Genomic DNA, 22,742 nt, shown 5'->3' on the forward strand with positions numbered 1-22,742 from the left:
TCCCCTTTTGAGTTCCTGCCTCACGTCACTGACAAGTGCAGCTCCCAGATCCAATCCCGCTCCAAGCTCTCCCAATTTACCATTTTCTCACATGGGGGCATTGCACTCTATCCCAACTCCTCCAATCTTGCTTGGGCCCTCAAAATGGGCCTTTAGTTACTGGAAGCCACTGTCCTCTAAGGATGGTAATATGTTATTTTAAAGAAGAAAGAAGGAAGGAAGAGAGGGAGGGAGGGAGGGAGGAAAGAGGGAAGGAAGGAAGGAAGGAAGGAAGGAAGGAAGGAAGGAAGGAAGGGGAGTGGACGGGAGGGGAGGGGAGAGGGGAGGGAGGGAGGGAAGGAAGGGAGGAGGAAAGAAAGAAGGGAGGAGGAAAGAAAGGAAGGAGAAGGAGGAAAGGAAGAAATGAAGCAAGGAAGAAAGGAAGGTGAAAGCGAAAGAAAGGAAAGAGAGAAAGAAAAAGAGAGAGAATGAAAGAGGTTTTTTTTTTCTGATACTAATAAGTACTACTTATGCCAAATCAAACAATGCATAAAGGCCCTAAATTATTTCATATAAATTTGGGGGCTGGGGAGGTGATTGTAAAGAAACGAACACAAGGCATATTTTCTGCATTGTTAAAGTGAATGCCATTGGAAAGGCAGATATAAACCCCTTTTAAAAAGCGCTGAAGGAAGAAATTTCCCTGACACACCAGCAGGCCTCTGTGAGCTCATAGGGTTCTTCCTTAATTGGCTCGGCCAAGAAGCCACTTGCAAATGCAGAGCAGGGTCAGACAGACTCACGTTGGACCTTAGTCATTTTGCAGTGACTTGATCAGGGAAGGAAATCCTAGCATAACTAGCTCATTTCTGAGAGAGACACAGTGGTCCTAACTCCTTAAATGATTTTTGGAGCGTTCAGCAAGGCAAACAGGACGTAGGATTACACATTTCTAAACAGTCATCCTATTTGCTGTCACTGTGTGATGGCAGGACATCAAGCTGAATTTACTTTGGCTCAACCAAAGTATCAAAGGATTCCAGAGGAGGAGGCCAAGTAGGCCATGGCAATGGCTTCATTAGCAAGTTTAGGTAGCTGCTCATGTGTGATTGAATCCTGTCTCAGGATAGATATAGATTAAATATGAAATCAGGTCTACAGGCTTAGGTTAAAGCCAGCACCCTCGGAGTAACTACATGGGATATCAGAAGGGGGCAAAGCCAATGCCCATTTCTATACACAAAGCTGTTATAAGAAGGGAGACGGGGTCTGTTGAGACATTGCCTTACCTGCTATTTCAGTCAAGTCCTGCAAGGAGGCAGTGACCACAAAGTCATTTGTACAGGAGAGGTTTGACATGAAGAACTGTTAACTATTTAGAGGAATTACCAAATGGAAATAACAGAGAATGCCTAAGACTAGCCTACAGTTGAGAGAGAATGCCTGTTAAGGACTGAATTGTGTCTTCCCAGTAGGCATATGTTGAAGCCCCAGCCCCCTCAACGTGACTGTATTTGGAGACAGGACCTCTATGGAGGCCAGTAAGTTTACTTTTTATTTTATTATTATTTTATTTATTTCATTTTGCTGAGACAGAGTTTTGCTCTGTCGCCCAGGCTGGAATGCAATGGGGCGATCTCGCCTCACTGCAACCTCCCCCTCCTGGGTTCAAGTGATTCTCCTGCCTCAGTCTCCCAAGTAGCTGGGATGACAGGTGCCTGCCACCATGCCTGGCTAATTTTTTTTTTATTTTTAGTAGGCACGGGGTTTCACCACGTTGGCCAGGCTGGTCTCGAACTTCTGACCTCAGGTGATCCACCCACCTCAGCCTCCCAAAGTGCTGGGATTACAGGTGTAAGCCACTGTGCCCAGCCGAGGCCAGGAAGTTTCAATGGATTCATAAGGGAAGGGCCTTAATCCAGTATGACTGGTGTGCTATCCTTATAGGAAGAGGAGCTTAGGACACAGAACACATGCACAGGAGGAAGGCCCTGGGAGAACACAGAGAGAAGGAAGTCATCTGCAAGTCAGGGAGAAAGCTGTTCTCAGAAACTAAGTTTACTGGCACCTTGTTCATGGGCTTTTGGCCTCCAGAACCACGAGAAAATAAATGTATGTTGTTGAAGCCACCTTGTCTGTGGAATTTTGCTATGGCAGCTCAAGCCAACTAAGAGAGTTTCCATGGAAAGAATAAACAGGAAAAGCGAGCATCCCCCACCCCCATGACTGGGAACGCCCAGGAGAGAAGGTGTGCGGCCCACTGAACATGAAGGAGTTTGCTGGGTTGTTCTGGGTCACAGCTGGTACTTATTTGATGGCCAAGGCTGGTGGTGGTCAGAGAACAGCCAGTAACATTCACCAGGGGCCACTGGGAAGGGCGAATTACTGTTGCAATTCTTGGGAAATTGGCTGGGTCATCTGTACAACTTACTGGGAAGGCACCATGGGCATCCCCTGGGAAACCACCAATAGGGGCATCTGTGGAACGTGTGAAGCCACTAACAGTTCCACTGAAGCCACTAACAACAGTTCCACTGAAGTCACTAACAACAGTTCCACTGAAGCCACTAACAGTTCCACTGATGCCAAACGCAGAGAGCTCCACAGGCATCCTGTGCACCAGCTCAGCACCACAGAGCAAGGAGAAAGAAAAGCACGGGTAAACCAGAAGCCCCTTTCTCCTCAGTATCCTTCCAACACCCTCCATGGCATCCTGCCAGCTGTCAAGGGAGAAAGCTTCTGATATTGCCAGCAGACAATCAAGGGTGGATGAGGAGCCAAGGAGCAATACACTGATAACAGGCACACCTTCTGTAAATCTCATGAAAAGATCATTTTCTTACTTACATTCAGGTAGCATGTTCCAGATTCTGGACAGATTATTTTCATCATACACATAGATGCACCTGTTCCTTCAATGGACTGCCCTGACCCAGTGGGTGTGTCAGAATGTAAGCTCCACCATTCCCCAAATTAAGTAGATGATCTTCAGCTCTGCCCACAGCTATGCAGGAGGCTCCACACTAGATAATCCCAGGGGTATTTATTCTGTCTCTCAAGCTTCTGGAAAATTTTCTCAGCCTTGATCTACCCTCTACTCCACTAGAGATTTAATCTGGAAATTTATAACTGAAATATTTTCATAGTTTTTCAAGGCCCTAACATCGTTTTATATACATACATGTGTGCATGTGCATGCACACACACATACACCACTTTTAAATTTAGCTTCTCCTTTCCTGCTCAATAATCCAAATGATTTGGGACATAAGAAAAGCTCCAGCACAAAGCACCTCTGCTTTGTTTTTAATTTTAATTTTTATTTCAATAGTTTTTGGAATACAAGTGCTTTTTGGTTTCAGGGATAAGTTCTTCAGTGGGGATGTCTGAGATTTTAGTGCACTGGTCACCCGAGCAGTGTACATTATGCCCAATATGTAGTCTTTTATCCCTCATTCCCCTCCACATCTTCCCCCCAGAATCTCCAAAGTCCATTATATCATTCTTACGCTTTTTCATCCTCATAGCTTAGCTTCCACTTATAAGTCAAAACATATGATGTTTGCTTTTCCATTCGTGAGTTACTTCACTTAGAATAATACCTCCAGCTCCATCCAAGTTGCTGCAAAAGACATTATTTCATTCCTTTTTTTGGCTGAGTAGTATTCCATGGCATATATATTCCACATTTTCTTTAACCATTCATTGGTTGAAGGGCACTAAGGTTGGTTCCATATTTTTGCAATCTATAATGCCTGTTTAAATTTTCTTCCTTGGTGATTGTTCATAGGTATCGGTCACCAACCCATCTCAAGTTCTATCATTGCTGAAAGTCTGTCTTCGTAGATAACCTTCAGTTTATCTACCAGGTTATATATATTGGGGGCCTCAGAATGACATGTATCTCTTCTTTGACAATATCACTTAAGGCCATCCTTTCTTTCCAAACTTTTGATGACTATGTCAGAAATAAAATATTCTTAATAGTCATCTTACTCATAAAAGGAAGAAACCTTGGTTCCCATCACCATAAATGTCTCTTACCTCTTTGCCAGCATTCATGAAATGTAAACATAATTGATGTTTTTTTTTTTTTTTTTTGAGACGGAGTCTCGCTCTGTCGCCCAGGCCGGACTGCGGACTGCAGTGGCGCAATCTCGGCTCACTGCAAGCTCCGCTTCCCGGGTTCACGCCATTCTCCTGCCTCAGCCTCCCGAGTAGCTGGGACTACAGGCGCCCGCCACCGCGCCGGGCTAATTTTTTGTATTTTTAGTAGAGACGGGGTTTCACCTTGTTAGCCAGGATGGTCTCGATCTCCTGACCTCATGATCCACCCGCCTCGGCCTCCCAAAGTGCTGGGATTACAGGCGTGAGCCACCGCGCCCGGCCATAATTGATGTTTTAAGTTAATTATGTTAATTAACATGTTGTGAATGCAACTTTCCTTTTATATTTTTGTGGTTAATTTAGTCTTTGGTGGTTAAAAACACAGGCAAAACAGATAGATGGAACACATTAAATCATCCAGGCTGGAGTAAAGATGGCCGAATAGGAACAGCTCCAGTCTATAGCTACCAGCATGAGTGACGCAGAAGATGGGTGATTTCTACATTTCCACCTGAGGTACCAGGTTCATCTCACTAGGGAGTGCCAGACAGTGGGCGCAGGACAGTGGGTGCAGCACACCGTGCACAAGCCGAAGCAGGGCGAGGCATTGCCTCATTCAGGAAGCGCAAGGGGTCAGGGAGTTCCCTTTCCTAGTCAAAGAAAGGGGTGACAGACGGCACCTGGAAAATCGGGTCACTCCCACCCTAATACTGCGCTTTTCCGATGGGCTTAAAAAATGGCGCACCAGGAGATTATATCCCGCACGTGGCTCACAGGGTCCTACGCCAACGGAGTCTCGCTGATTGCTAGCACAGCAGTCTGAGATCAAACTGCAAGGCGGCAGCGAGGCTGGGGGAGGGGTGCCTGCCATTGCCCAGACTTGCTTAGGTAAAAAAAAGCAGCCAGGAAGCTTGAACTGGGTGGAGCCCACCACAGCTCAAGGAGGCCTGCCTGCCTCTGTAGGCTCCACCTCTGGGAGGAGGGCACAGACAAACAAAAAGACAGCAGTAACCTCTGCAGACTTAAATGTCCCTGTCTGACAGCTTTGAAGAGAGCAGTGGTTCTCCCAGCACACAGCTGGAGATCTGAGAACGGGCAGACTGCCTCCTCAAGTGGGTCCCTGACCCCTGACCCCCGAGCAGCCTAACTGGGAGGCACCCCCCAGTAGGGGCAAATTGACACCTCACACGGCCGGGTACTCCTCTGAGACAAAACTTCCAGAGGAACGATCAGACAGCAGCATTCGCGGTTCACGAAAATCTGCTCTTCTGCAGCCACCGCTGCTGGTACCCAGGCAAACAGGCTCTGGAGTGGACCTCTAGCAAACTCCAACAGACCTGCAGCTGACGGTCCTGTCTGTTAGAAGGAAAACTAACAAACAGAAAGGCCATCCACACCAAAAACCCATCTGTACATCACCATCATCAAAGACCAAAAGTAGATAAAACCACAAAGATGGGGAAAAAACACAGCAGAAAAACTGGAAACTCTAAAAAGCAGAGCACTTCTCCTCCTCCAAAGGAACGCAGCTCCTCACCAGCAACGAAACAAAGCTGGACAGAGAATGACTTTGACGAGTTGAGAGAAGAAGGTTTCAGACGATCAAACTACTCCGAGCTACAGGAGGAAATTCAAACCAAAGGCAAAGAAGTTGAAAACTTTGAAAAAAATTTAGACAAATGTACAACTCGAATAACCAATACAGAGAAGTGCTTAAAGGAGCTGATGGAGCTGAAAGCCAAGGCTCGAGAACTACGTGAAGAATGCAGAAGCGTCAGGAGCCGATGTGATCAACTGGAAGAAAGGGTATCAGTGATGGAAGATGAAATGAATGAAATGAAGCCAGAAGGGAAGTTTAGAGAAAAAAGAATAAAAAGAAAGGAACAAAGTCTCCAAGAAATATGGGACTATGTGAAAAGACCAAATCTACGTCTGATTGGTGTACCTGAAAGTGACGGGGAGAATGGAACCAAGTTGGAAAACACTCTGCAGGATATTATCCAGGAGAACTTCCCCAATCTAGCAAGGCAGGCCAACATTCAGATTCAGGAAATACAGAGAACGCCACAAAGATATTCCTCGAGAAGAGCAACTCCAACACACATAATTGTCAGATTCACCAAAGTTGAAATGAAGGAAAAAATGTTAAGGGCAGCCAGAGAGAAAGGTCGGGTTACTCACAAAGGGAAGCCCATCAGACTAACAGCTGATCTCTCGGCAGAAATTCTACAAGCCAGAAGAGAGTGGAGTCCAATATTCAACATTCTTAAAGAAAAGAATTTTCAACCCAGAATTTCATATCCAGCCAAACTAAGCTTCATAAGTGAAGGAGAAATAAAATACTTTACAGACAAGCAAATGCTGAGAGATTTTGTCACCACCAGGCCTGCCCTAAAAGAGCTCCTGCAGGAAGCACTAAACATGGAAAGGAACAACCGGTACCAGCCACTGCAAAATCATGACAAATGGTAAAGACCATTGAGGCTTGGAAGAAACTGCATCAACTAACGAGCAAAATAACCAGCTAACATCATAATGACAGGATCAAATTCACACATAACAATATTAATTTTAAATGTAAATGGACTAAATGCTCCAATTAAAAGACACAGACTGGCAAATTGGATAAAGAGTCAAGACCCATCAGTGTGCTGTATTCAGGAAACCCATCTCACGTGCAGAGACACAAATAGGCTCAAAATAAAAGGATGGAGGAAGATCTACCAAGCAAATGGAAAACAAAAAAAGGCAGGAGTTGCAATCCTAGTCTCTGATAAAACAGACTTTAAACCAACAAAGATCAAAAGAGACAAAGAAGGCCATTACATAATGGTAAAGGGATCAATTCAACAAGAAGAGCTAACTATCCTAAATATATATGCACCCAATACATGAGCACCCAGATTCATAAAGCAAGTCCTGAGTGACCTACCGAGAGACTTCGACTCCCACACAATAATAATGGGAGACTTTAACACCCCACTGTCAACATTAGACAGATCAACGAGACAGAAAGGTAACAAGAATACCCAGGAATTGAACTCAGCTCTGCACCAAGCGGACCTAATAGACATCTACAGAACTCTCCACTCCAAATCAACAGAATATACATTTTTTTCAGCACCACACCACACCTATTCCAAAATTGACCACATAGTTGGAAGTAAAGCTCTCCTCAGCAAATGTAAAAACTCAGAAATTCCAACAAACTGTCTCTCAGAACACAGTGCAATCAAACTACAACTCAGGATGAAGAAACTCACTCAAAACCGCTCAATTACATGGAAACTGAACAACCTGCTCCTGAATGACTACTGGGTACATAACGAAATGAAGGCAGAAATAAAGATGTTCTTTGAAATCAATGAGAACAAAGACGCAACACACCAGAATCTCTGGGACACATTCAAAGCAGTGTGTAGAGGGAAATTTATAGCACTAAATGCCCACAAGAGAAAGCAGGAAAGATCCAAAATTGACACCCTAACATCACAATTAAAAGAACTAGAAAAGCAATAGCAAACACATTCAAAAGCTAGCAGAAGGCAAGAAATAACTAAAATCAGAGCAGAACTGAAGGAAATAGAGATACAAAAAACCCTTCAAAAAATTAATGAATCCAGGAGCTGGTTTTTTGAAAGGATCAACAAAATTGATAGACTGCTAGCAAGACTAATGAAGAAAAGAGAGAAGAATCAAATAGACGCAATAAAAAATGATAAAGGGGATATCACCACCGATCCCACAGAAATACAAACTACCATCAGAGAATACTACAAACACCTCTACGCAAATAAACTAGAAAATCTAGAAGAAATGGATAAATTCCTGGACACATACACTCTCCCAAGACTAAACCAGGAAGAAGTTGAATCTCTGAATAGACCAATAACAGGAGCTGAAATTGTGGCAATAATCAATAGCTACCAACCAAAAAGAGTACAGAACCAGATGGATTCACAGCTGAATTCTACCAGAGGTACAAGGAGGAACTGGTACCATTCCTTCTGAAACTATTCCAATCAACAGAAAAAGAGGGAATCTTCCCTAACTCATTTTATGAGGCCAGCATCATCCTGATACCAAAGCCTTGTAGAGACACAACCAAAAAAGAGAATTTTAGACCAATAACCCTGATGAACATTGATGCAAAAATCCTCAATAAAATACTGGCAAACTGAATCCAGCAGCACATCAAAAAGCTTATCCACCATGATCAAGTGGGCTTCATCCCTGGGATGCAAGGCTGGTTCAATATACGCAAATCAATAAACGTAATCCAGCATATAAACAGAGCCAAAGACAAAAACCACATGATTATCTCAATAGATGCAGAAAAGGCCTTTGACAAAATTCAACAACCCTTCATGCTAAAAACTCTCAATAAATTAGGTATTGATGGGACGTATCTCAAAATAATAAGAGCTATCTATGACAAACCCACAGCCAATATCATGCTGAATGGACAAAAACTGGAAGCATTCCCTTTGAAAACTGGCACAAGACAGGGATGCCCTCTCTCACCACTCCTATTCAACATAGTGTTGGAAGTTCTGGCCAGGGAAATTAGGCAGGAGAAGGAAATAAAGGGCATTCAATTAGGAAAAGAGGAAGTCAAATTGTCCCTGTTTGCAGGTGACATGACTGTATATCTAGAAAACCCCATTGTCTCAGCCCAAAATCTCCTTAAGCTGATAAGCAACTTCAGCAAAGTCTCAGGATACAAAATCAATGTACAAAAATCACAAGCATTCTTATACACCAATAACAGACAAATAGAGAGCCAAATCATGAGTGAACTCCCATTCACAATTGCTTCAAAGAGAATAAAATACCTAGGAATCCAACTTACAAGGGACGTGAAGGACCTCTTCAAGGAGAACTACAAACCACTGCTCAATGAAATAAAAGAGGATACAAACAAATGGAAGAACATTCCATGCTCATGGGTAGGAGGAATCAATATTGTGAAAATGGCCATACTGCCCAAGGTAATTTATAGATTCAATGCCATCCCCATCAAGCTACCAATGACTTTTTTCACAGAATTGGAAAAAACTACTTTAAAGTTCATATGGCGCCAAGAAAAGAGCCCGCATCGCCAAGTCAATCCTAAGCCAAAAGAACAAAGCTGGAGGCATCACGCTACCTGACTTCAAACTATACTACAAGGCTACAGTAACCAAAACAGCATGGTACTGGTACCAAAACAGAGATATAGATCAATGAAACAGAACAGAGCCCTCAGAAATAACACCTCATATCTACAACTATCTGATCTTTGACAAACCTGAGAAAAACAAGAAATGGGGAAAGGATTCCCTGTTTAATAAATGGTGCTGGGAAAACTGGCTAGCCATATGTAGAAAGCTGAAACTGGATCCCTTCCTTACACCTTATACAAAAATTAATTCAAGATGTATTAAAGACTTAAACGTTAGACCTAAAATCATAAAAACCCTAGAAGAAAACCTAGGCATTACCATTCAGGACATAGGCATGGGCAAGGACTTCATGTCTAAAACACCAAAAGCAATGGCAACAAAAGCCAAAATTGACAAATGGGATCTAATTAAACTAAACAGTTTCTGCACAGCAAAAGAAACTACTATCAGAGTGAACAGGCAACCTACAAAATGGGAGAAAATTTTCGCAACCTACTCATCTGACAAAGGGCTAATATCCAGAATCTACAATGAACTCAAACAAATTTACAAGAAAAAAACAAACAACCCCATCAAAAAGTGGGCGAAGGACATGAACAGACACTTCTCAAAAGAAGGCATTTATGCAGCCAAAAAACACATGAAAAAATGCTCACCATCACTGGCCATCAGACAAATGCAAATCAAAACCACAATGAGATACCATCTCACACCAGTTAGAATGGCAATCATTAAAAAGTCAGGAAACAACAGGTGCTGGAGAGGATGTGGAGAAATAGGAACACTTTTACACTGTTGGTGGGACTGTAAACTAGTTCAACCATTGTGGAAGTCAGTGTGGCTTTTCCTCAGGGATCTGGAACTAGAAATACCATTTGACCCAGCCATCCCATTACTGGGTATATACCCAAAGGACTATAAATCATGGTGCTACAAAGACATATTCACACGTATGTTTATTGCGGCACTATTCACAATAGCAAAGACTTGGAACCAACCCAAATGTCCAACAATGATAGACTGGATTAAGAAAATGTGGCACATATACACCGTGGAATACTATGCAGCCATAAAAAATGATGAGTTCATGTCCTTTGTAGGGACATGGATGAAATTGGAAATCATCATTCTCAGTAAACTATCGCAAGAACAAAAAACCAAACACCGCATATTCTCACTCATAGGTGGGAATTGAACAATGAGATCACATGGACACAGGAAGGGGAACATCACACTCTGGGGACTGTTGTCGGGTTGGGGGAGTGGGGAGGGATAGCTTTAGGAGATATACCTAATGCTTAATGACGAGTTAATGGGTGCAGCACACCAGCATGGCACATGTATACATAGGTAACAAACCTGCACATTGTGCACATGTACCCTAAAACTTAAGGTATAATAATAATAAAATAAAATTACAAAAAAGAAAAAAGCCCTTTTATTAAAAGAAGGTATTTGACAATCAAAAAAAGATAAAATAAAATAAAATAAAAAATCATCCAAAGCATCCATTTCCTCTTATTAGCTAATGGCTTGCAGAAAAAAATAAGAGATTAATTTTTGAAGGGCATTTTTCAAGGGTGTCTTGGATCCTTTCATGGACATTTTATGGTTTTGTTTTATGGTTAAAGATGTAATACACTTGCGGTTAAAATTTCGAATATTTTTTTGTACGAAGTTTCTCCAAATGCTTGCATTTTGCCCTAAAGACTCAGCATGAAACAATGTCTGTTGTTGAAACTCCTTTGAATGTCTGAAAAACACCATTAGCATTGGCTCTCATCTACTCATCAAGCAGATGTGGATGCACACTGCACTCTCTTTGAGCTAGGTTCTTCCAAGGTCTTGTTAAAGCTGCATGAGGGCCATCTGAAGCCCAAAGGGGAAAAAGCCTGATGTGAAGCTTGGTACCATCTATAAATGGACAGAAAACAGAAGGTTTTGAAATTGCGCTAAAGAACAGGTTTATAAGTGAGGATGCTATTGCACTACTGCTGAGAAAGGAACATTTACCAGGTTGCCTTTGATGAGACCAGGATATTTGTAAAGCCACTTTTACTGCAAAAGCACCTGACCCAATAAAGAACTACAGTTCATAGTAAATACTCAGCCCCCATTCTGAGAGTGTCAGCATTTCTGTTGACTTAAAAATACACTTACCCTATGACCCATGACGCCTAGCTGGTAGCAGAAATCTACACAGTAAAGGCAGCATCCAAGGCAACAGTAATTGTAAAATATCATCTCTTGAACTCTCAAATAAAGTAGAAGACAAGAATACTTGTTCTGTTCAAATTAATGCTCTTGCTCTGGACTTTCTATTAAGGCTAAGCCTCTGAGCAGTGCTCTGCTATGTGTTTTGAACCTTGTTTTCCATTAGCAGCCATAAAAATAATTATTTAGAAACATCAAATATTTGCAATGCCTTGATCTGTCAAGCAACAGCATGAAATGTATCAATGGCTGTTGAATCTTTTCGAAGCACTTGGACAGAAGGTTGTTTTCCACTCTTGCTGTGTGTGTGTTAAATATAAATGAATTGTGGTTTATTTTCATTCATGCTGTTTATTTACATACATGTGCCCCATGCCAGCTACCTGATCAAGTGCTCCTGTATGAACCTGGATTCAGAGTCTACAAGTAAGGCTGGTCAGTATTAGGAAAACTGTCAAGTCAGTCATTCCAGTGTGAATGATACCTTTCTGAAATCCAGGTGTTTGCAGATAGTTAGCCAAGCTCTTCTGCTAGTTGATTTACTTTTTCCTGATACCCATAGATTTAGCAAAAATGTTTTTGCTGCAGTTAGGAAATGTTTACCCATATACTTGTGTCATCAAATTATGTAAATTTGAAACTTTGAAAAAATATCTTTGAAAGCATCATTAATTTCCTAGCTTGAGTGTAAGAGGAGATCTAGACCATTCTGAATGATTCTGGTTCAATAATGTAGAATGTTTATTTTTGCGTTGAGTTGGAGTTTAAAGAGTTATTTATTATTTATTTATTTATTTATTTTTTGAGATGGAATCGCACTCTGTCACCCAGGCTGGAGTGCAGTGGTGCAATCTCTGCTCACTGCAACCTTCACCTCCCAGGTTCAAGCAATTCTCCTGCCTCAGCCTCCTGAGTAGCTAGGATTACAGGTGTGTACAGCTAATTTTTTGTATTTTTTAATAGAGATGGGGTTTCACCATGTTAGCCAGGATGGTCTTGATCTCCTGACCTTGTGATCCACCTGTCTTGCCCTCCCAAAGTGCTGGGATTACAGGCGTGAGCCACCGCGCCCAGTCTATAGAGTTATTTTACTTTTCATATGTAATATACTGTTGAGAGTTCAAACATGAAGTTTAAATGGCACAGACTGATCAGTGTTACATAATAGAGTCCCCACTGCCTATTCTGTATGGTACAGATAGAAATAATTTCATATGTTTGGTGCAAAAAATGACAGTGAGGAAAAGTTATGTATCTTTGAAAAAATATTTTATCTGTATGGAATAGAGTCAATTTGAGTAAGAAAAAAATGATACGTCAAAGCACAAACACCTTTAGAAATTAATGATTTATGGATCTGGAAAAGACACAGCTAAAATTTCCCCTCTGTCATAAAGATTATGTTTATTACCAGGTGTAAATGATTTCTTTCTATTTTTGAGGTTCTGACATTTTTGATACATCTTATATTATAGCTGTTTATGAATGTCTGCTTATTTTGATGAGGCCTTTTTAAAGTATTAAGTTTCACTTATTCAGCCATTCAGCACATAATTTTTGAATGCCAACTTTATACACAGTGCTAGACATATGGCGGAAAATAAAGACGGTTAATTATGGCTCCTGCCCTTAGTACCTGTTTAAATCATTTTTTGGAGAGTACTTTTTGTTTACTCCCCTGAAAACGTAGCATAAATAGATACTGATAAACTCCAAAGGATAAAAATAATAAATGGACACACCTATTTTTATATAAATATTACTGTCTTAGTCCATTTGGGTTCCTATAACAAAATGCCCGAAACTGGGCAATGAATAAAGAACATAAATGTATTTCTTCACAGTTCGATAAACTGGAAATCCAAAATGAGGATGCCAGCAGGCTTAGTGTCTTGCGGGGGGGCTGCTCTCTGCTTCCAAGGTGGCACCTAGAAAGCCACCTTGGAAGGTGTCCTCCTAAGTTGGAAAGGACAGAGGGCAAATGGTGTCTTCCTAAGTTGGAAGGGACAGACAGCAAAAGGGGCTGAACTCACTCCTGCAAGTCCTTTCAAAAGGGCACTAATCCCACCTCTACTCACCTCCTAAAGGCCCCACCTCATAAAACTGTTGCGCTGGGGATTAAATTTCAACATGAATTTTGGAGGACGCACAAGCATTCAAGCCATAGCTATTACTCTCTGCATACCTCTCTCCACTCACCTCACCACTCCTGAGAAGTCTAGGGTTAGGGCCAGCACCTGTCCCATAAAGGTGCCCAGGTCTTCTCCCGAATCTGTTCTTATTACCCAACCTCTTTGACATTCGCATCATATTTGGGCATTTGATATTTGCTTTTATTATATTTATTGTGGGTGGCTGTTCACAAAGTAATTCTCTCTTTATTCTAATTTAATTCTACAAGTTCTCTTCATTGCATTATTAGAGATTCAGTTAAGATACACTTTCTCTGCCAGTTCATCTTGGTACCTAAACAGGTAGAGCAAACTACAGGTCATTCGGTTGGAAGAGAATGTATTAACCTGTGAACTTGAATAGCTTTTGTTTTTCTTACTGGGAAGGAAAGTCAAATATCCTTCATTATTATGTTCCATCTGCACCCATCTCTCTGCTTTGTTCCCAACAAAATTTGAAATTTTGACTTTATGTTCTAATTTACATTTCATAGTTCCAGAATTTTCTATATTTCTAACTTACTATATGTTTCTTACACTTTTCTTCAAATAAGTTTCAAAATGAGAAACTGATTGTGTAAATCTGCACTATTTGCATGTTATTTAACCACTGTGCCTCAGCTCTAACCATCTCTAATAGGAAATTATTTTGCATTCCTCTTTTATGGGGCAGTTTGTTTGTTTAAAGTTAATAAATTTAAAATTCTTAAAATATTATCTGATACATTCTAAGCATTTAAAATGTTAGTTACACTTTATTATCGTTACTAATTTTTAATTAAATACCCCTTTAAGGGATAAAACAACTCAAAAAGTAAAAGAAAATAACCCCACTAAAAACTGGGCAAAGGACATGAATGGATATTTATCAAAAGAAGAAATATAAGTGGCCAAAAAACACATGAAAAATGCACAGTATCAGTAATAATCAGACAAATGCAAATTAAAAGCACAATGAGATACTATCTCACATCAGTTAGAATGACTGTTATTAAAAAGTCAAAAGACAACAGATGTTGGTGGGGATGCGGAGAAAAGGGAAGGCTTACACATTGTTGTTGGGAATTTAAATTAGTTCAACCTCTATGGAAGACACTATGGAGATCTCTCAAAGGATAAAAAATAGAATTGCCATTTGACTCAGCAATTCCACGACTGGGTATTTACCCAAAGGAAAATAAATCACTATATAAAAAAGATGCCTGTTCTCATATGTTCATTGCATTACTGTTCACAATAGCAAAGTCATGGAACCAACCTAAGTGTCCATCAATAGTTGACTGGATAAAGAAACTGTGGTCTATATAAACCAAATAATACTATTCAGCCATGAAAAAGAATGAAGTCATGTCCTTTGCAGCATCATGAATGAAGCTGGAGGCCATTATTCTAAGTGAACTAACTCTGAAACAGAGAATTAAATAAGCAATGTTCTCACTTATAAGTGGGAGCTAAACAATGGATACAAAGAGACATAAAAATGGAAATAATAGACACTGGGGACTCCAAGAGAGTTAGGAAGTGGGTGAGGATTGAAAAATTACATATGGGATGCAATGTTCACAATTTGGGTAATAGGTATACTAGAAGCCCAATTCCAACCAGTACACAATATACCCACATAAGAAACATCCACCTGTACTCTCTGAATCCAAAATAAAATAAAATTGAAGAAAACATAAAACAGGATAATAAGTTTGTTAAATTGAAAAAAATACTAGTTCATAAATTAATAAGTTTAATAATGGTCTTTTCATTACTATTATATACTTTCTCTATTTTTACCTTATAAGTATAATGCTTTATTGATTCTTTCTCCAAATATTTATTTAACGGTTATTTTATACCAGTTACTTACTTTCTAGATGCTAGGTAAAAAGAAAAGAATAAATAAGGCCAGGTAAAATCGCTGGCTACGTGGAGCTTACATTCTTGATTTTGAATGATACAAGTATCTTTTTTCGGATAAAAAGAATGATTTTACTTGTTCAAAAATGATGTTTTAGCAAGAGCAAAGTAAATAACAAAAAACATGAAAGAAATACATTTTAAAGGTAAACAATGTCATCTGCCTTTTGGGTAAGACCCATGCAAACATGACCAGAGGTCACTCCCACTACGCATATTGCTTATTTTAAAAAAACAAACAAAAAACAAAAAACAAACAACAACAACAACAAAACAACCCTGGCTCATTTCACCTGCTGAATCTGTGGTTTTCAAACAGTTGTCTTACCAGCGACATCAACGTCATCTGGAAACTTGGTAGAAATGCAAATTCTAGGGCCCCACCACAGACCTGCTGAATTTGAAACACTGGTGATGGGACCCAGCAATCTGTGTTTACAAGAGCCCTTCAGGTGATTTGGATGAAGTAGCAGAAGGCACAGTCAGGGAAGTGAGGCAAGGTGGAGAAGCTCAGCTTACCAAAATGAAAATCAGCTGGCATGACTGATGCTCGCAATTACCATTTCTATATAGAGACGCAGTTTGCAAAGTCATACAATTTTATACTAGTCAATTTTTACAACAGTTGCTATGTTATTGTATTAGTCTGTTCTCACACTGCTATAAAGACATACTGGAGACTTGGTAATTTATAAAGGAAAGAGATTTAGTTGACTCACAGTTCCATATGGCGGGGGAGACCTCAGGAAACTTACAATCATGGTGGAGGGTGAGAGAGAAGCAAAGGCACGTCTTAATGGCAGCAGGTGAGAGAGAGTGTGAGAGAGCACAGGAAAAACTACCGTTTATTATATAAAACCATCGGATCTCATGAGAACTCACTCACTATCATGAGAACAGCATGGGGGAAACTGCCCCTATAATCCAATCACTTCCCACCAGGTTCCTCCCTTAACACCTGGGGATTACAATTCAAGATAAGATTTGGGTGGGGACTTAAGGCTAAACCATATCAGTTATGAAATATGTTTATTTTGAAGATGAGAAAAACTGAGAACTTTACATGTTAATTAAGTGGCAGAGTAAGGAAGGAACACAGGAATCCTGGCTGACTCTCACATTATTCTTTCCATTAAAACACATACTGTGGAAGGTTATTACCTATATGATCAAGCCTTCTAATGAGGTTTCCTTGCAAATCTCTAAGCTAACTGCAGTGGATTGAACATTTGTGTTTTCCCAAATTGATATGTTGAAATTCTAATACCCAAGGTGATGGTATTAAGAGGTGGAGCCTCTAAGAGGTCATTAAACCAGGCGGGTAGAATTCCCATGAATGGGATTAGTGCCCATATGGAAAGAACTCCAAGAGGTCTTACACCCTCTTTCTATCATGTGAGGATACAAGAAGACAGCCATCTGCAACCCAGAAGAAGGCCTTCATCACAGCCTGACCATGTGGGCAGCCTGATCTCAGACTTGCAGCCTCTAGAGCTGTGAGAAATAAGTTTCCGTTGTTTAGAAGCTACCCAGTTTACAGTACTTTGTTATATCAGCCAGAGCTAAGATACTAACTACAGTCTAAGCCCAAATATGATTTTCTTTTTTTTTCTCTTTGAAGAACTCTGAGATTCTAAAAAACAAACAAACAAACAAACAAACAAAAACCAAAAAAAACCAAGGAATTGAAAGTGAATCTAAAATTTAATTCAAAATATCACAGTAATGTGCAAAACATTTTCAAAAATCGCTGTGTCATGTTATAATTGGCATCACCCTTTCCTTAAGACAATTGTAACGTATAAGAAAAAAGTACATGGCATCCCCAGGAGGCTTATCTAGTAGATCAGGGCTCTTATTGGTACAACCCATGGAACATGGCATAAGCTTCATGGTTTTTTATGATCTAGGCTCAAAAGTCACATGAGGTCACTTCCGTCACATTCTATGGGTCACTTCTGGCATACTCTATTGGTTAAAACATTCCAAGCCTGTTTTGATTTAAAGGGAAAGAAAACTGTCTTTATGTCTTAATGGCAGGAGTACCAAAGCTTGTGTAGTGATGTCTTCACTGACCTCAAGCTGCCATAGTCCAACTTCTCAGCACAAATTATTTCCATTTCTCCCTTTTGCAAAACATACTTACTCCCCACTAAGATCCTCAAAGGTCTCATTCCATTCCAAGCTCAGGCCCAAGGTCCAAGATATTTTAATCTGCATCAGATCCAGGTGGGGCTCATCCCTTCTGGTTCAATTGCTCAGGTATGTCTTCTCTTGGTTTAAAGGCCTATTAACCAAAAAAACAAGTTATTTGCTTTCCATATACTCAACACAAAATGGAGGGCTAGGCAGGCTTTTGTACAACAGCAATACCTAATTCAATTCAAAGCGAGGAAACAGGCCATACATGGCAGTCCCTGGCCTGTAGCAATATTAAACCCAGCAGGACACTCATCAATTACCTCCGTTTAGGGCCCCATATTGCACCGAGGTTAGAACCCTGTGACTGCAGGGTCTGTATTCTAATCCTTTGTTTCACCTTCTGAGACATGCTTTCTCGTAAGAAATAACCCATGTTCACAGATGCAGTTTTTTCAGCCTGTCTCCTGCTCATAAAAATTTAGAGGTCTCAATATTCATTTCAGTTGGGCTATTCTCTGTCTCTTTTAATCTAACCTGGTAAAATTTCTAAAACTTTATAGGCTTCTTATGAAACAATTATCTACTCCATTAGAAGAAGCCACACCCACACATTTGTTTTGGGTATGTCCTTCTCTACCTTCACTATTTCTGATGCGTTTTAAGGACAATATCCTTCAGATTTTTAGAATCCCTATTGTTTACCGGTGAGGGCCTGCCCAGGCACAGCCATCATACATTTACAAGGCCCCTGGCTTCCTGAAAGTATCTTCATGCAACGGCCTTGGATCTTTGTAAAATCTGAATAAAGGCTTGTATAGTCATAGCCATGGATTAATTTTAATCTTTGCCCCAGACTGTTTCCAAGCTTTAAGTTCAGTTCGCTAACTGGAAAGACTGCCACGGACGCTTTACAATGTCCTGCAAATTCTATTAGAAAACTACAAAATGTGTTCTTTTCTTCGATGCTCTCCATTGGCACTGGTCATTGACAGTGAGCAGAAGCTAGATAGCATTTTCAGTATTCTGCCTGGAAGTCCCCTTAGCTAGACTCCAAGTCTATTCAGTACATTCAGTATTTTCCACATTACCAGAGGTGACAGTTTTAGTGTCTTGCTCAAAATTTCAGAGAAAGTAAATTTGCCCTGGAACTACAATGAAGATTACTCTGAGACCATCACCCCAGTGTCTGAGCCCCTCAGTGAACGCCAGCACTTGTTTTCTTGGCTATTTAATCAGGTGTCACTGTCAGGCGTCCTTAAAGATGGAAATTAGATAGTAGAGATTTAAGTAATCACTGCATTTCTAATTGGAATGAAGATGGTTTTTAACTTTTGCTTGAATCCAGAATCATAACATATATTGGCCCTTTTACTGGTTATCTGTGGTTAAGAAGGTATACCTCAGAATGGCTGTGGAATTTATCCTGCATGTGTATACCTTTGCACAAGCTGATTGTGGAACAGACCATTGCTCTTTGCCTTTGCTTTCCAGTTTAGTTACTTTGTTTTCTTTCTTTGTTTTCTTTTTTTTTTCTTTTTTTTTTTTTTTTGAGACAGAGTCTTGCTCTGTCATCCAGGCTGGAGTGTTGGCCAGGCTGGTCTCGATCTCCTGAGCTCAAGTGATCTGTCTGCCTCAGCAGTGGTGCCATCTCGGCTCAATGCAATCTGCGCCTCCCAGATTCAAGAGATTCTCATGCCTCAGCCTCCCAGGTAGCTGGGATTATAGGCACACACCAGCATGCCCAGCTAATTTTTCTATTTTTAGTAGATACAGGGTTTCACTATGTTGGCCAGGCTATTCTCAAAATCCTGAGCTCAAGGGATCCAGCTGCCTCAACCTTCCAAAGTGCTGGGATTACAGGCATGAGCCACTTCATCCAGCTCAGTTTAGTTTAAATTATAACTTAATTTTTTTTCTTTGCCTTGTGGTTTAGTTACAGTTATAACTACTATAGATTTAACGAACTTTTAATCTTTTTAAGGCATGCTGGAGTCTTATAAAAATACTTTTGGAAAAATTGCTTCTATATTTTAACTAACACAAACACCGTCGTGATATTCCTATAATCAGTCTCACATCACCTCCCTCAGGTTGTTGGCCTCATTTTAATTCTACTTTTAAACAAAAGGTATTTGATTTCTCTTCCTCTTGGCTACCCTTTGCATAACCCCTAATTTAAAACTGCCAGTTCCTTACATTCATCACTTAAAAAGAAATGCATTATCAGGTAAGAAACTCGCTCACTATAAAAGTGCAGAAACACTTTTTGCTTCATTTTTATTACTGTGGCATGTATGTCTGATTAGTGTCCAGTACTGGTTTTTATAAAGCTCCATGAGAAACAGCACATTTTAAAAAAATTATCCAAGATATTAAACAATATGGATAACACATTTCTTACTCTCCAAATGTAAGTGTGAATCTACTTTATCTGAAAGATGACAGACTATAATTTAGCAGGTTAGTAGGTGGTCATACAGTAGTAGCATGAATGGGGAGTCATTTTTAGGACACTCGTTTTTGCACAGAAACATGGTGCGGGCCTAGGACGAAATGCATACTTTGTAGGAAAATCAAGCATTGGAAAGTACAAATCTTTGTAGCAGCCTGTTAACCTGTTTGCTGACTTCATTCTTAAACCCTACCAATCCACTGATGTTGGTGTGATCCTTGTTATGCAAATCAGGTCATGTCATTTTCCTAGTAAAAATATGCTAATAGCTGCTCACTCTACTCAAGAGAAAGTCTTTAACTGCTTATTAGTACTCTTGAGATCTGTATCATCTACTGTCCATGCCCCTCTGCTGACACTTCTATTTTCAACTACCTGTTTTTACGCCCCACCACTTGTAACCCTGCCCATGAAAGCGAAAGTGACCTATTTTCAGTATTGTTCAAACAGCTGCATGTCTCCCTTTGGGCCTTTGCATATGCTATTCTTCTTGTCTGGATCCTTCCTCCAACCTACCCTACTTTCAATCATGTTCACGTAATTGGGAGGATTGCTTGAGCCCTGGAGGTAGAGGCGTTGGTGAGCTATGAATGCACCACTGCACTCCAGCCTGAGTGAGAGAGTGAGATACTGTCTCAAAAAAAAAAAAAAAAAAAAAAAAATCCTGTCATTACCTCACATCATATCTAAAACAACTCAAAATTGGTCAAAGATCTAAATGTAAATTTTCATGACCTTGAACCAGGCAATGATTTTTTAGCAATGAACATCAAAAGCACAAAAAACAATGAAAGAAAAATATTCAGGCATGACTTCATCAAAGTTTAAACTTTTTATCCTTCAAAAGACACAATCAGTAAAGTAAAAGGCCACACAGAATGGAACAAATGTACAAATCCTTTATTAGATAAGAGACTAGATTCCAGAACATATTGAGAACTTCTACAACTCAAGGATATAATTTACAAATAAAAATTTAAAAATGACCAAAGGACTTGAGTAGACATTTCTCCAAAGATGATATACAAGTAGCTAATACACAAAAGAAAAGATGATTAAAATTATGAGTTATTAGGAAATACACATCAAAACAGCATAATTGAAATTGTAAACCTGTGGAGAAACAGATCCCTTGATACCCGTCTTCCCAGCCCCTGTAAACCACCATTCTTTTCTCTGCTTCTATGAATTTGACAATTTTAAATACTTCATATAATCAAAGCATGCAATACAGTCCTTCTGTGATGGATTTATTTACTTAGGATAATGTCCTCCAGGTTGATCCATGTTGTAACAAATGGCAGTGTTTTCTTCTTTTCAAAGCATGAATACTATTCCATTACATGTCTGTATACATCATATTTTGTTTATTCATCTGTTAATGATATTTGGGTTGTTTCCATATTTTGGCTATTGTGAACAATGCTGCAATGAGCACAGAAGTACAGACATCTCTTGAAGATCCTAATGTTAATTCTTTGAATATATGCCCAGAGGTGGGATTCCCGGATCATATGGTAGTCCTGTTTTTAATTTTGAGGAACTTTCAGACTGTTTCCCATAATGGCTGAAACATTTTACATTCTTACCCACAGCATACAACAAGAGTTCCAATTTCTTGCTAATGCTTGTTATCTTTCAGTTTTCTTTTTCTTTTTTGATGACAGTCATCCTAACAGCTGTGAGGTAATACCTCATTTTTCATTCTTGTTTTAATTTACATTTCCATCATTATCAGTGATGTTAGCACTTTTCCATATGCCTGTTGGTCATTTGTGTATCTTCCTTGGAGAAATGTCCATTCAGGTCCTTTGCTGTTTTGTAATCGAATTAGTTTTGTATTCTTTTTTTTTTTTTCTAATGAGATTTAGGAGTTTCTTAAAAGAGTCGACTTAATGTTATGTGAATTATACTTCAATTGTTAAAAATTAAAAATTACTTCATAATCTTTTTTTTCTTATAAACAGGAGGTTGCTAGTGGGATTTAAAGGTCTCATGTAGAATAAATTTTAAAAATTAACTTCAGTAATAATGCTTTCCACTTTCTCTACTAAATTTACTTGACCCTTCTTTATTAAAAATTAAGTATTAAAAGTGTGTAGGGCCATAAGAAAAGAAAAATAGGAAGTGCCCTGAATAAAAGCACTCAGCTGAAGGGGCAACTGGGAGCTCAAACCCAAGCTACTGCCCATTTCCAAGCCACACACCCTTGAATTTGCCAAAAGTAAGAGGTGCTGCTTTATAATTTGCACAAAGGTGCTATGTGATCTAGCATTAAAATTGACATAAATCATGCAGGAGAAAGAGAGAAAGAGACAGATGCTGTTTTGATATCATTTTAATTTTCATTTTAATGCAAAGAGAAATATTATGTCAAACTTAATGGCAAATAAGAGCAGGAGACTCTCTAAATAATAATATGTATTCAGGAGTGGGCATTTCGATGGTAATAAATACGCCATAGTAAACTATGTGCATAGTGAGGGAGTTAAAGGAAGAGAAAGGCTTTTAACGAAAAAACAAGAAGGGTTACACAAGTGCTTCAAATCAATTATCCTTGGCTATAAATGTCAAGAACAAAGGTGACATCAGTCCAATGTTGGA

General features: G+C 39.7%; 1 long non-coding RNA gene across 5 annotated transcripts in view, besides 1 other annotated feature; it reads right to left on the reverse strand.

Moving 5' to 3' along the window:
- LINC02663 (long intergenic non-protein coding RNA 2663) overlaps positions 1-22,742 on the reverse strand; it is a 434,814-nt gene that overhangs the window by 72,088 nt on the left and 339,984 nt on the right. For all 5 annotated transcript variants that reach the window (XR_930643.2, XR_930644.2, XR_930645.3 and 2 more), the window contains one exon: positions 17,691-17,831. This is a non-coding gene — a long non-coding RNA (long intergenic non-protein coding RNA 2663). The remainder of the gene's footprint in view (positions 1-17,690; positions 17,832-22,742) is intronic.
- Positions 20,552-20,621: an enhancer, noted in NCBI's record as "active region_2989". NCBI's record gives its function as "activates an Ori minimal core promoter by ATAC-STARR-seq in GM12878 lymphoblastoid cells {active_cell/tissue: GM12878}" and the evidence as "EXISTENCE:reporter gene assay evidence [ECO:0000049][PMID:35858748]".

Source organism: Homo sapiens, chromosome 10 (assembly GCF_000001405.40).
Source record: "Homo sapiens chromosome 10, GRCh38.p14 Primary Assembly".
Lineage (NCBI taxonomy): Eukaryota > Metazoa > Chordata > Mammalia > Primates > Hominidae > Homo > Homo sapiens.